The sequence below is a fragment of the Homo sapiens genome, chromosome 14, assembly GCF_000001405.40.
Source record: "Homo sapiens chromosome 14, GRCh38.p14 Primary Assembly".
In the NCBI taxonomy this organism is placed as follows: Eukaryota; Metazoa; Chordata; class Mammalia; order Primates; family Hominidae; genus Homo; species Homo sapiens.
In genome coordinates, this window is record NC_000014.9 from 104,267,790 (window position 1) to 104,282,072 (window position 14,283).

General features: G+C 50.4%; 1 long non-coding RNA gene across 2 annotated transcripts in view, besides 3 other annotated features; it reads left to right on the forward strand.

Moving 5' to 3' along the window:
* The window catches only part of LINC02691 (long intergenic non-protein coding RNA 2691), a 64,486-nt gene that overhangs the window by 44,206 nt on the left and 5,997 nt on the right, over positions 1-14,283 (forward strand). Inside the window, exon 2 of one of the 2 annotated variants that reach the window (NR_146613.1) lies at positions 7,555-7,840. The exons of the other annotated variant lie outside the window; for it this stretch is intronic. This is a non-coding gene — a long non-coding RNA (long intergenic non-protein coding RNA 2691). Of the gene's footprint in view, positions 1-7,554; positions 7,841-14,283 lie in introns of those variants that run through there. 2 annotated transcript variants of the gene reach the window in all.
* Positions 2,295-2,980: an enhancer, noted in NCBI's record as "H3K4me1 hESC enhancer chr14:104736421-104737106 (GRCh37/hg19 assembly coordinates)". NCBI's record gives its function as "activates a minimal SCP1, AML or CMV promoter by ChIP-STARR-seq in naive H9 embryonic stem cells {active_cell/tissue: H9 hESC(naive)}" and the evidence as "EXISTENCE:reporter gene assay evidence [ECO:0000049][PMID:30033119]".
* Positions 2,981-3,665: an enhancer, noted in NCBI's record as "H3K4me1 hESC enhancer chr14:104737107-104737791 (GRCh37/hg19 assembly coordinates)". NCBI's record gives its function as "activates a minimal SCP1, AML or CMV promoter by ChIP-STARR-seq in naive H9 embryonic stem cells {active_cell/tissue: H9 hESC(naive)}" and the evidence as "EXISTENCE:reporter gene assay evidence [ECO:0000049][PMID:30033119]".
* Positions 11,562-11,777: a silencer, noted in NCBI's record as "fragment chr14:104745688-104745903 (GRCh37/hg19 assembly coordinates)". NCBI's record gives its function as "represses an EF-1alpha promoter that drives an FKBP-Casp9 reporter gene in an ReSE screen in HepG2 liver carcinoma cells {active_cell/tissue: HepG2}" and the evidence as "EXISTENCE:reporter gene assay evidence [ECO:0000049][PMID:32094911]".

Here is a 14,283-nt window from a genome sequence, read left to right on the forward strand (position 1 = left end):
TGGAGGCTGGGAGAGGCTGGGCTGGGGGCTGCACGCTCCTCTCCTAACATGGCCTCAGTCCCCGCTTGGCCACGAGGCCTGTTTTCCTAGAAACCTGGTAAAAATGGGAATGGTAATTGCCCAGCTCATGGTCTGTGACCGCGGCCGGGTGCTGGGAAGCTTAATCTCAATGCTTCCTCCAAGAAAATAAATGCTTTTATGATGCTCCCCACGCAGGTTCTGCCTGACTCCGGGATGCTGCCGTCCCAGCTCTGGGCTGAGCCCCTTTTGTAATTACATGGGGACCCTGTCCCCATGGGCGCAAACACTGAGGCCTTAGCTAGCAGAGAGCACAGGCTTCAGAGCGGCCGCTCCCAGATTCCTGCACTGCCCCCCTCTGCAGCTTCACAAACCTCCGCTTCCGCTTCCGCTTCCGCATCCGCATCCCGGCTCCTTCCTTCGTAGTGATAGTCACGACTCCTGATTGCAGATGCACGTTTTTTCTTTATTATCTTTCTATTTCAGGAGATGAAAGCTCCAAAGAACAGGCTACCACATTAAAAAAACCATTTACAGCCAACTTTATCGAGGTATCATTTCCATGTAATAAAATGCATACCTTTTTTTTTTTAAAGTAGGCTTTATTTTTTAGAGCAGTTTTAGATTCACAGAGAAATTGTGCAGATTGTACAGAAAAGCGCCACCTACGCCAAGCCCCATCGTGAACACCTCCCAGAGTCTGATGCGTTTGATACATTAATGAATCAACAGGGATACGCTGGTACCAGCTAAAGCTCACACATAACGCAGATTTCCTGAGTTTTTTATTTATTTTTATTTTTTTTTAATTTTAATTTTTTTTTTTTTTATACTCTAAGTTTTAGGGTACATGTGCACATTGTGCAGGTTAGTTACATATGTATACATGTGCCATGCTGGTGCGCTGCACCCACTAACGTGTCATCTAGCATTAGGTATATCTCCCAATGCTATCCCTCCCCCCTCCCCCGACCCCACCACAGTCCCCAGAGTGTGATATTCCCCTTCCTGTGTCCATGTGATCTCATTGTTCAATTCCCACCTATGACCTCGAGGCCTTCCCCTGCCTCAGGGCCGCGTCTGGGACACACCATGCCTTTTGGTGGTTGCGGCTCCTCCTCAGGGCCCCCTCAGCTGCCACAGTTTCTCAGACTTTGTTTTGATGACCTTGACAGTTTTGGGGAGAACGGGTCAGGTATTTTGTGAACCTTTATTGGAATTTGTCTGCTGTTCTTCTCATGGTTAGACTGGAGTTACAGGTTTTTGAAGGAAGACCACAGGGGCAGGGCAGAGGGCCACTGACGCCACACCCTTCCCAGGGTGCCTGCTCTCAACACGGCTGTCCCCGTTGGCGCTGACCTTGGTCCCTGGCTGAGGTCGTGCTGTCAGCTTTCTCCTAGGTGAAGTTACCGCCCACCCAGCAGCCCGCCACGACCTCCAGCACTCTTTGGAGGAAGGTCACGGTGCACAGCCCACACCGCGGGGTGGGGAGTCACGGTCGCCTCCTTGGGGGCAGAGGATCTGCATGAATCCTTCCGAATCCTTCTGCTTGGAGACTCGTCCCTTCTCCCGTGTTTGCTCATTTGCTCAGTTTTTGGGTTCCATCAGCAACGACTCACGGACACTCTTGTCAGATTTCGGGTGTCCCAGTCCTCCTCCATTTTGTTGCTCAAGCTGTCCTGTCTTTGGCGGTGGCAGCTCTTCAGTCGGCCTGTGACCCGTCCCTTTGGTTTTAACGCGTCCTTATTTTCTGGGATGAGAAGAAGCTCCAGGCTCATCCTGTATGTTTCCTGCCTCAGCCCCACATCAGCTGTTCCTCCAAGGAGCCCGGTGCCTTTTGTTGGAAGGTCCCATTAGACACCAAGACCTGGGCACCGGGCCTGCTTGCTGCTTGGGTGTGGTTGCTTCCAGGCCCTCTCGGCCAGCGGAGCAGGGAAGTGTCTGTGCGTGTACTAACCTGGGCATGAGCCCATGTCTAACGTGCTTCTGTGTGTGACCCTCCGTGTGAGTAGGGGTCATCAGAGAAACGGATGCAGTGGGACGTTCACACCCACTCCTGTTGGAGATTGCCTGGAAGCCTGGGCGCAGGTGACCACGCAGGCCGAGAGGTCCCACGCCCGCGGAGACCCAGGGAAGCTGGTGGTGCAGTGCGGTCTGAGTCCGAAGCCCTGAAAGCCGGAGGGCTAATGGCGTTAATCTCAGTGTCAGGGCCAGAGAAGGTGAGTGTCCCAGCTCAAGCAGCGTGGCAGGAAGAGGGGGGCAAATTCACCTTTCTCTGCCTTCCGCGCTATTCGGGTCCTCAGCGGATTGGGTGACGCCACCCACCCTGGGGAGGGCGGCCTGCTTTACAGAGCCCACTGATTCAAATGCTAATCTCATCCAGAACACCCTCGGACATCCCCAGAAATAACGTTCAACCCGGCACCCCACGGCCAGGGGAGCTGACACATAAAGTTAACCGTCACACCGCCCGCGTGGAGAGGGAGCCCACAGGAAGGAGCTGGTGCTGCTGTCTCGACCCTGACCCTGGGCCGTGTGGGTCGTTCTGGCCCCTGCCCCTGCTTGTCTGTAGCTCCCACCCCACAGTGAGGAACCTGCCCCACCACCCACCATCCATGGACCTAATCGCTAAGCTGCAGTGTGCAGGGGGAGCGGTGTAGGGACTGCTCACCTGTACCCCGCGGCAGAAGCGTGTGTCTGCCAGGGTACAGGGCTCACGTGCGGGTCCATTTGCTTTTGGCTTCACAGACTTTGTCGTTTGTGAGGGTACCCAGGTCAGCCCCATCCCCCAGCCCCTCCCTACGTCTGTAATACAGCTGCTCCCTGGGTCTGTGATACAGCCAGAGGCTCTCGCCACACATGGCCCGCCTTCCGTCCTAGACCCCCAGCCTCTTGACTGAGCTTTAAAATTTGCATACATTAAGGCTCACTCTTGCTGTGAAGTTCTGTGGGTTTTGACAGATGCACAGTGTCGTGTCTCTGCCATTACAATGTCGTTCACGTTAGTTTCACAGCCCTAAAAACCCCCTGTGCGGCCGGGCGCGGTGGCTCAAGCCTGTAATCCCAGCACTTTGGGAGGCCAAGGTGGGCGGATCACGAGGTCAGGAGATCGAGACCACCCTGGCTAACACGGTGAAACCCCGTCTCTACTAAAAATACAAAAAAATTAGCCGGGCGAGGTGGCCGGTGCCTGTTGTCCCAGCTGCTCGGGAGGCCGAGGCAGGAGAATGGCGTGAACCCGGGAGGTGGAGCTTGCAGTGAGCTGAGATCGCGCCACTGCACTCCAGCCTGGGCGACAGAGCGAGACTCCGTCTCAAAAACAAAACAAAACAAAACAAACAAACAAAACCCTGTGCTCCACCTATCCAACCATCTCCTCTCACCTGGAACCCCTGGCCAACACTGATCTTACTGTCTCCACAGTTTTGCCTTTTCCAGAAAGTCATACAGTTGGAACCATACAGCACTGTAGTCTTTTCTGATTGGCTTCTCTCACTTAGCAATATTCGTCTAAGGTTCATGCCTGTCTTTTGGTGGCTCGATATCTCACTGCTTTTTATCAGTGTATAATATCCCATTGTATGGATGGATCTGCCAGAATTTGTGTATCCATTCACCCAGGACATCTTGGTTACTTCTAGGTTTTGGTAATTATGAATAAAGCTGCTATAAACATTTGCATACAGGCTTTTGTGTGGACCTAAGTTTTTCAGGCCAGTTGGGTAAATACTTAGGAATGCAACTGCTAGATCATATGGTGAGACTATGTTTAGCTTTGTAAGAAACTGCCAGACTGTTTTCCAAAGTGGCTGTGCCATTTTGTCTTCCCACCAGCAGTGAATGGGAGTTTCTGTTGCTGTGTATTCTCATAGCAATTGGTATTGTCACTTTTTGGAATTTAGCCATTCTAATAGGGATAGTGGTGTCTCGTTGTTTTAATTTGCATTTCCCTCATGAAAAATGATATCAAGCATCCTTTTATATGCTTATTTGACATTTGTCTTTTTTGAGTGAGGTGTTTGTTCGGACCTTTCCCCCATTTTAAAATTGCGCTGTTCGTTTTCTAGTTGTTAAGTTTTAGGAAGTTCTTTGTGTGATTTGGATACAGGTCCTTTAATCTGACTTACATTTTACAAAGGTTTTCTCCCAGCCTGTGACTTGTGTTTTCATTCTTTTAATGGTTTCTTTTGCCGGGCAGAAGTTTTTAATGAAAAACACATCTTAACAATTTTTTCTTTCATAGGTTGGGCTTTGGGTGTTGCAATCAAAAACTCATCGTCAGACTCAAGGTCACGTAGGTCCCCTGCTTTCTTCTAGTTTTATGGTTTACATTTAGGCCTCTGATCCCTGTTGAGGTGACTTTTGTGAAAAGCGCCCTCAGTGTGTGTCTAGATTTATTTACTTATTCTGCATATGGATGTCTAAATATTACAGCACCATTTGTTGACGAGACTTTCTCTGTTAGAGACACATTTTCTCCTTTGTCAAAGATCATTGGCATTTGTGTGGGTCTACTAGTGGATCTCTGTTCTATTCCACTGATCTGTTTATCCATTCATTCATCAATATTTCCTGTCTTGATGCCATCATCTTATAGGAAGTTTTGAAATTGCGAAGCGTGAGTCCCCTAGCTTTGTCCTTCACCGTTGTGTTGGCCATTCTATGTCTTTTGGCTTTGTGTATAAACTCTAGAATCAGTGTGTTGATATCTACAGGAGAGTTTGCTGGGATATTGATTAGGGTTGATTAGATCTATTGATTCTATAGCCCACATTTGGAAAAGTAGACACCTTAACAATATTGAGTCTTCCTATGTGAACATGGACTATCTCTTCATTCATTTAGATTTTTTGGATATCTTTCGTCAGAGGTTTGCAGTTTTCAGCATACAGAGCCTGTACATGTTTTGTTAGATTTGTGCCTAGGTATTCCACTTTTGGGGGTTCTGCTATAACTAGTATTGTTCTTTAAATTTCAAATCCTGATTGTTTATTGCTGGCATATAGGAAAGGATCTGACTTTCATATATCAACCATGTATCTTGCAACCTTGCTGTGTTTGCTTATTTCTTTCAGGAGATAGATTCATCCATTCATCCATTTAATCATTTACATGTTGCTATGGTTTGGCTGTGTCCCCACCCAAATCTCATCTTGAATTGTAGCTCCCATAATTCCCATGTGTTGTGGGAGAGACCCGGTGGGAGATAATTGAATCATCGTGGCAGTTTCCCCCATACTCTTCTCAAGGTAGTGAATACGTCTCACGAAATCTGATGGTTTTATAAGGGGAAACCCCTTTTGCTTTTTTTCCTCATTCTCTCTTGCATGCTGCCAAGACTGTGAGGGCTCCCCAGCCATGTGGAACTGAGAGTCAATTAAGCCTCTTTCCTTTATAAATTACCCAGTCGTGGGTATGTCTTTATTAGCAGCGTGAGAGCAGATTAATACACACATCTTAGATTGATTTTCCAATGTGAAAATCATACCTCAAATAAGTCCCTCGTGGTCATGCTGTGTAATTGTGGTTATACATTGTTAGATTTGATTTGATAATATTTTGTTGATTATTTTCATATCTACATTCATGAGAGTTATTGGTTTGTAGTCTCAAGTTTCTTTTCTTGTAATTTCTTTATCTGTTTTGGTATTAGGGTAATGCTGACCTCTTACAATGAGTTAGGAAGCATTTCCTCTGCTTCTATTTTTCAGAAGAAAAATTAAATCACTTAACATAATGATCTCCAGTTCCATCTGTGTTATTGCATATAAAGACAGACTGTAGAGAATTGGTATTTATTCCTTACATAGTTGGTAGAGTTCACCAGTGAAACCATCTGGGCCTAGTGCTTTCTTTTTTGAAGATAATGAAGTATTATTTAAATTTCCTTAACAGATATAGACCTATTAAGGCTTTTTAAAATTTTTAAATTATTTTAAAAAGTATTTGTGGGTACATAGTAGTTGTATATACTTATGAGGTACATGAGATGAAGATGTTTTGATATAGGCATACGATGTGAAATAAGCACATCATGGAGAATGGGGTATCCATCTCCTCAAGGATTTATCCTTTGAATTACAAACAATCCTATTACATTCTTTATTTTAAAATGTAAAATTAAGTTATTATTAACTATAGTCACCCTATTGTGTTATCAAATACTAGGCTTTATTCATTGTTTCTACTTTTTTTTTTGTACTGATTAACCACTCCCACCTCCCTCCCAGCCCCTGAGTATCCTTCTCTGTCTCTGGTAACCATTCTTCTATGCTCTATGTCCTTGAGTTAAATTGTTTTGATTTTTTAGCTCTCACAGATAAGTGAGAACATGAGATGTTGATATTTCTGGACCTGACTTATTTCACTTAACATAATAACCTCCAGTTCCATCTGTGTTATTGCAAATGACTGGATCTCATTCTTTTTTTATGGCTGTAGAGTACTCCGTTGTGGATACATACTGCATTTTCTTTAACCATTCATCTGTTGATGGACACTTAGGTTGCTTCCAAATCTTAACTCTTGTAAAAAGTGCTGACCATCATAGGAGTGTAGGTATCTCTTCCATATACTGATTCCCTTTCTTTTGGGTATATACCCAGCAGTGGGATGTCTGGACTATTTAGCTTTTTAATTTCTCCTTGGGTAGTTTATGTCTTTTAAAGAATTGGCCCATTTCATCTTAAATTTCAAATTTGTAGAGATAGAGCTGTTCATGGTATTACTTTATTAGACTTTTAATGTCTACGGAATCAGCAGTGACAACCTCTCTTTCATTTCTGATATTGGCAATCTATGTTTTCTTTGTTTTTTTTTTCCTTAGTTAGTCCATTTCATTGATCTTGTTAAAAAATAAGCTTTTGATTTTTTTCTATCACTTTCATGTTTTGAGTTTCATTGAATTCTGCTTTACTTTTTATTATTCCTTTTCTTTTGCTTGCTATAGTCTTAAATGGTTCTATTTCTAGTTTCCTACAATGGAAGCGTAGATGATGTATTTTAGACTTGTCTTCTTTTCTAACATGTACATTCATGCTATAAATTTCCCCTGAGTACTGCTTTTGCTGCAGCCTGCACATTTTGATAAATTGTCTTTTCATGTATTCCTAAATATTTAAAATTTCTCTTGAGACTTCTCCTTTGACCCATGTGTTATTTAGAAGTATGTTGCTTAATCTCCAGATATTTGGGGATTTTCCAGCTGTCTTTTCTGTTCCTGATTTCTAGTTTATGCCATTGTGTCTTAAGAGCACGACTTCTCTTCTTTTAAATTTGTTATTGCGGGTCCTGCGGCCCAGAACGCGGTCTGTCCTTGGCGAATGCTCCACGAGAGCTTAAAAGAACGTGAACCTGCACGTATTCTGTGGTTGCTGGGTGGAATGTTCTAGAAACATCAGTTGATGAAGTTGATTGATAGCATTCTTCATGTCACCTCTGTCCTTGCTGACTTCTGATTGCTTGATCTACCAATGACTGAAAGAGGAGTGTTGATGTCTCCAGCTATAGAGGTGGGTTTGTCTGTTCTCCTTGCAGCTCCTTGAGTTTTTGCCTCCGGTGTTGTTTGGAAGGACGTGTCTGGAGCTGCTGCAGTAAAGCTGAAGAAGTGGCCGCGTGCAGTCCTAAGCTCCTGTGGCCTCTCGGTTGCCAGCAAGTCCTTTCCTTGGCTGTGGGCCAGTGACTGTTTGCGAGACCGCAGAACGGCGAGCTACATGTGATCAGCCGTTGGAGGAGCCTCTTCTCCCCGGCTCGCCAGCCCCACACGCCCACCCTGTCTCAGAGAGACTTATTTTTCCTTCTTCAATGTCGTCAGGCTTTGCCTCCTGACTTACCTTGGCCAATGGAACGTAAGCAGAAGCAGAAGCGCCTCTTCAAGAGAGTGAAACGGTCCTGGAGGGAGCGGCTCCTCCAGCCTGGATGCTCAACTGTGGCAAGCGCCCGGCTGACCTACAGGAAACGCGGAGCCCGAGTGGAAACACACGTGTGTTGTAAACTGCTGAGACGCCGAGATTGCTGGGGCCACAGCCCGGCCTGGCATCAGCTGACTCGAGGAGAAACTGGCACCTAGAATTCGTTGCTGTCACACACAAAACCTAAAATTTGTGGCATTGGCTGGGGTGGGGCAGGGGAGGGGGAGAAACTATAATTAGAGGCTGGGAGCAGCATTTTTATGTGGTGAAACATTTGGCAAAACTGTCATCTATGTTTTCTCGGGGGCGGAAAACATAGGAGGCTTTGGGCTGGGCACGGTGACTCACACCTATAATCCCAGCACTTGAGGAGGCTGAGGCGGGTGGATCACCTGAGGCCAGGAGTTCGAGACCAGCCTGGACAACATTGTGAAACCTCGTCTCTACTAAAAATACAAAAATTAGCCAGGCATGATGACGGACGCCTGTAATCCCAGCTACTTGGGAGGCTGAGGCAGGAGAATCGCGTGAACCTGGGAGGCGGAGGTTGCAGTGAGCCAAGCTTGCACCACGGCACTCCAGCCTGGGCGACAGAGTGAGACTCCGTCTCAAAACAACAACAACCATCACCACCAAACAGAAAACAGGAGATTGTGGATTCAAGCAAAGAGGTTTGGAAACCAAATGTGACTGGTGTGTCTTGGTTGCTATTGGAGATACGGATGAGATAATACAAGAAAGATGTGCTCAGATGGAAATTGTCTGGTTTGCAAACAGCCTTGAAAGAGGCAACTGCTTCTTAGCTCCAACCAGTAAAGGATAAATGGGAGACATGCTTGCTCCACAAAAGCCAGTTAGGCTCAGGCTGGTGGCAAAAGCCAGGTGGAGAGTGTAACCCCCGGGGGTTATGATCTCTGAATAGATTAAGGTGGCAGCCCAGCACATTTCTTTCTCTTTCTTTCTTTTCTTTCTTCCTTTCTTTTCCTTTCCTTTCTTTTCCTTCCTTCCCTTCCCCTCCCCTCCCCTCCCCTCCCCTCCCCTTCCCTTCTCCTTCCTTCCTTCCTTCCTTCCTCCCTTCCTTCCTTCCTTCCTTCTTTCTTTCTTTCTTTCTTTGACCAGTTCTCACTCTGTTGCTCAGGCTGGAGTGCAGTGGCACGAACACAGCTCACTGCAGCTTCAAGCTTCTGGGCTCAAGCTATCCTCCCACCTCAGTCTCCCCAGTAGCTGAGACTACAGGCGTAATTTTAAAATTAGCCCAGCTAATTTTTAAAGTTTTGTAGCGATGCTGTCTTGGCATGTTGCCCACACTGGCCTCGAACTCCTGGGCTTAAGAGATCTGCCTGCCTTTGCCTCCCAAAGTGCTGGGATTACAGGCATGGGTCACTGTACCCGACCCCAGCAAATCTTTTGAGTCAGGTGAAATTTTGTAAGAAGAGAAATTGGGGGCATTGCTCTCCCAAGGAAGCCCCAGAAGTTAAAAGTAGCTGCCGTAAAGTCAAGACAGTGAGACGTATCTCCTCACCTGCCGTGAACTGCCCAAAACAGATGTGAAGCCAGCCACGTGCTGAGGGATCTGCACACCCAGCTTTGCCTTGCAGTGACTGCGAAGGTGCAAGATTTAAAAATCACGTCTGAGCCTCCAGCGTTCTGTGGACAGAAAGCAGGAGTGGTGCGGGCTCCCTGAGGACATAATTTCCAATATCCTCTTCAGATGTAGCCCAGAGGGTGATGGAAAAGGAAGAACCTCCCAGAGGCGAGCTCGGTGATGGGCCAGTAATGGATTAGGGGCTCACACCACGGACTGGAGTCAGGTATGTTGATCAGCCCCCTGGGGTTTGCCTGGGACGTCGCTGGCTTCAACACTGAAAGTCCCACCTCTCAGGAAACCCACTCGTCCTGGTGAACCGGGCCGGATGGTCACCATGAGAGCCTGGTTTGGAAACATTCCCCACGCCCAGGTATGGGGCTCTCAAAAATCTCTGCCCAGCAGGAGCACAGGGCTGCCATCCACGAGCGAACACAGTGCCGCCCTTTCCCTCTCCAAAAGGGGTGCTTCTTCCGTCCATCCGGGGTCTGTCCCGCCGTGGTATTTTGTGTTGTGAGTGGAAGCTAACGTTCCCTTTTAGCTCCTGGATCGGGAGGAGATGTGTTCAGATGGGAGGCTGAGGCTGTTTCCCACATGTTCTGTGTGCAGACGTGAGGGGAGTGAACATGAATGGTGAGGTGTGTGGGCTGCTGGGTTATGGTCACCAACGTGGACTCCTCTTCTGGGACTTTCCCGCCTTACTCACAGCAGTCTTAACCACGCGACTCGCCCAGAGTGAGCAGATGTTAGCAGCAGTGGGCCGGGCTGTGTCCAGCACCAACCTGAAGAGCACCACGTGGTCCTGCCACATTCTTTCTCCCTCGGCTGCGGGAGGGCCTGGATCCCAGGAGAGAGAAGATGCATGGGGCAGACCCATAGCCACCTGCCGCCTACACGGAACACCAGCCAGAAAAAAACCTTGTGTTGAAAGAGAGATCAGAGGCATTGCTCAGTGATTCCAATCCTGAATCGCTGAGCTTCTGGGGATGTTTGTCATGGCAGCAGAATCCAGCATAGCTGACTAACACAGACCATGCCACTACCTTCTCCTGGAGACCCTCACTGACTTCAGGCTGACAAGCACAGGGGCCTCCTGCCTCCCCTTGGGCCAGTCCTGGCCTTGCAGGCACCGTCTATACCCTGACTCTGCTACCCTGCACATTATCTTATCTGCCTCCTTTTCTATCGAAATATTTTAAGCAAGGGGAGAAACGAGGGTGGAGCAGCAACCAGAGGAGACCCTTGCCCAGGGGATGCCTGCCCGGGGTCTGTCCTGGGCAGGGAGCAGCACAGCCCTGGTGGCTTGGGTAATGTGGCAGCCCCCTCCCCAGGAGTCCCTGCACTGGCCACTCCAGGCACCAGGATTCTTTTTGCCTTAATGAATTCCCCTCAAGTCTCCGGTTAGAAGTTTCCTGCTCCAATCTTGAATATGCATCTTTTAAAATACTCTGCAAATTTGAGGGCCTCTCATGTATCATTTCAATCCTCCAGCTATTAGAGAAATTGGGGTATCATATAGATTACGGAAAAATTACTTTGGGCAGAGAAGGAGGTAGAAGATCAAACGCTTATCTGTACAAATAAATTCAGTGCGATCCACAATTAAGCAGCATTTGACATTTAAAAAATATTTGATCCATGTTTTGGCTTCCAGAGCTGCTTAAGGGAGCTGCGATGTGTAAATTACATTCAAATCAGGGTTAAATATAGTTCCCAGAGAAAGATTGTATGATTTAAATTGCCTAATTATTTGGGGGAAAAATCTGTTCTCCAATAATTAAGAGAATGAGGATGTTCGACTTATTGGGGAGAGAGATCAGAAGTGGCTATTCCCTTCTGGGAGACCAGGAGATGCTGGCTTGGGGAGGGGATGGTCACCCCTCTGGGGTGGGGGCAGGCGATAGAGACCCAGCAGGCAGGCCCCAGGCAGGGGGAAGAGGCTGCCCTTATCTGGCCCCAGGCAGCCTGCTGGGGTCTGTGGCCAGGCAGGACACCCAGTGCTCAGGAACCAACCAGAAACCAACTAGAAACTGGCAGTCTGGGTGCTGAGCCAGGGGCCCGCAGCCGCGCCAGGCAGGGAGTGGGCGCCAGCTCTCTCTGGCAGGGCTGGCCGGCATATGGGAGCACCCAGGCTGGGGCCAGATGCCTCGGGAGGGGGATTTGGCAACACTGAGAGCCAGCAATTAGTTAATTAGCTGATATGTCTTAAAAGTCAGTGTGGGGAGGGGTGTGGATGGCAGCCTGCCTTCAGGAAAAATTCCAAACCCCAGCAGCCCCTCCCTCCAGACCCAAGAGTGTGTGTGTGTGTGTGTGTGTGTGTGTGTGTGTGTGTGTGTGTGGCCCTGGCGCAGCAGACAGCACGGGCCCAGCTAGGCAGCCTCTGATCCCTGCTTGACATAAGTGCACATGAGGCGTGCAACCTGGGCCAGCGCAGAAGGGCCCTGAGCCCCCGTTTCATCTGTGACATGGGACAAATTGCCACACCTTTCAGTCCGCGCTGAGGATTAAATGTCAGCATAGACGGGAGTGCAGTGGTCAGAATCTGGAGGCAGACCTGGCCCTGTGCCCTCTGCTGTGTGAACTTGGACAGGTTACCTACCTCTCTGAACCTCAGCTCTCAAGATAGTAAGAACAGTGACCTCCCAGGCTGCTTGGGGGGTTCATCGCAACCCCATTCATGAGGGAGGTTTAGCCAGGTCAGTGGTCGGGCAGGCAGCAGGCCTGGGCTCCTCACGCCGCAGATACCCACTGATGACCTGTGAGGGGCCTGGTGTCCGTCCAGGTTCCAGGACATCCACAAAGGGGTGGCGAAGGCTCCTGCTCACCTTCAAGTGTGAAATCGGGTCATTCACGAGGAAACGGGATCTTTGCAGAAAGCTGTTTGGCGCGTGATCTAGAACCACAGGTTCCGCGGGGGAGCGGGGGCCTGAGTCGGAAGAGGGGCTGCAGGCCGGGAGGCAAGGAGGAGCCATTCCCAGGGTGGGAGAAGAGGGCTCCAAGCAGAGGCTGGTGGGGGCGTTTGCTGTGTTCCCGGAACTGCGGGGGGCCGCTGGGACCTGGCAAATGATGGGAAGCCATGGGTGGGTTTTGAGCAGGGACCGCTGTGGTCTGATCAGATTGAAGGGAATGGCACTGGCCAGGGAGGAAGCAGGGAGCGGAGCAGTGGGCTGGGGCCAGACGAGGTGGTCGCAGTGGACAAGTGTGCACGTGTGTGTACGAGTGTGTGCGTGCAAGTGTGCATGTATGATCTGAATCAGTCTCCTGACTGCAGCCGCCCGCCACACACACCTGCCTGTAAGATAGAGAAGGCGGGTCAGTGTGGCTGCTGACTTTTGGGGATGGGGCCTACGGGGCTTGTGGAGTGATTGGGTGGAGGGTGGGCGTTGGGGAAGAAGCCCAGCTGCCTCGTGCCTGCATCACTGGCAGCAACTCAGTGCCCTGCGGGGCACAACCTGGGTGCCACTGCCCAGTGGCGGGCCCCGGGCCATGGGGAGGGTGCCCTGCAGGAAGCCCTGTACCCAGTGCTGTGATCTGTGGATGATGCACGTCCAGGCCCTGGGCCCAGCATGCAGGGCTGCCCCAGTCCAGCACACAGGCAGCTCCCGAGGGTCTGGGCCACCTCCACTCAGCACCAGGGATGGTGTGGAGGCTGGTCCTGGGCTAGTCTTGGCTCCAGAAAGCTTCAGGGGCCTGAGGTGACCTGAGGCTGTGCTAAAATTCCTAGGCCAACCTGCCCCGCAGGGCAGAGCTGAAGGTCCTGCCTGTCCTGGATCCCAGGCCGTGGAGACGCGCGGGAAGAGAGGCTGTGGTAGGCAGAGTTCAGGTCTGGGGACACTGACCGCGGTGTCAGGTCACTTCTCTGCCGGCCTAGGCAGGAAGGGAACCCAGCAGGCAGAGCCAGCATGGGATGGCGGGGCTGGACGTCTCAGGCACGATCAGGCCCACGGGAAAGTCGGAGGTCAGGGCGCCAGGGCCTCTGGTTGGGGGCTTCAGAGGCGTTGCAGTCGACTCCTGGAGCAGAGGTGAGTAAGCCCCTGCCGCCCTCCCCCTGCTCACAGCCTGACCTTTGAGACGTTCACGCTCAGCCACGGACCCCGAGAGCCATGTAAGGGGGTCTGAAGCCTCCACCCCCACCCAGCAGAGCCACCCTCTGGCCCCAGACTGAGCCCACCCAGTGGGTTTGCCCCCAGGTCCCTGCTGCTGTTGTGTGCCCCCATGTCTTGAAGGACACAAACAGTTGAGTGGGGTGGGTCTACCTGCAATGCTCCGCTCCCTCCCATCTGTTGAGCCCCCACCCCAGCATCTGTCTGAGTGAGGAGATCATCCCTGAGCCCCCAAGCCCTCCCTGGAGGCCCTGAAGGGACAGCAGTGCTTGGGGGGATGCAGGAAGCCTCCCTCTCCCCTCTGCTGGTGTGCACATGGCTTGGACATCCTGCCCCTGCCCCTGGGGGAAGCGTGTGGAGCCTGCTGGTGGCTTTTGGGCGGGAGGAGTGTGAGCTTTCATTGCCCAAGAATCCAAAGGGCAGAGCATGGAGGGAGGCGTCTCACAGCGCCAGCCCTCACAGAGCCCTGTGGCCACTAAGGCCAGCGGGGGCCCTTGCCCTCTGCCTCTGCCTCAATGCCAGCGGTCCTTGAGGCTGGTTTGGCTGCCCCTGCTCTGGTCATGGGGGCTGAGGGATGGCAGCCTGTGCTGGGGGGCCCATGCTCACGGCCTCCATGCTGTCTGCTGACCTACACTGGCAGGGCCCAGGCTTCCTGAGGACTTTAGAC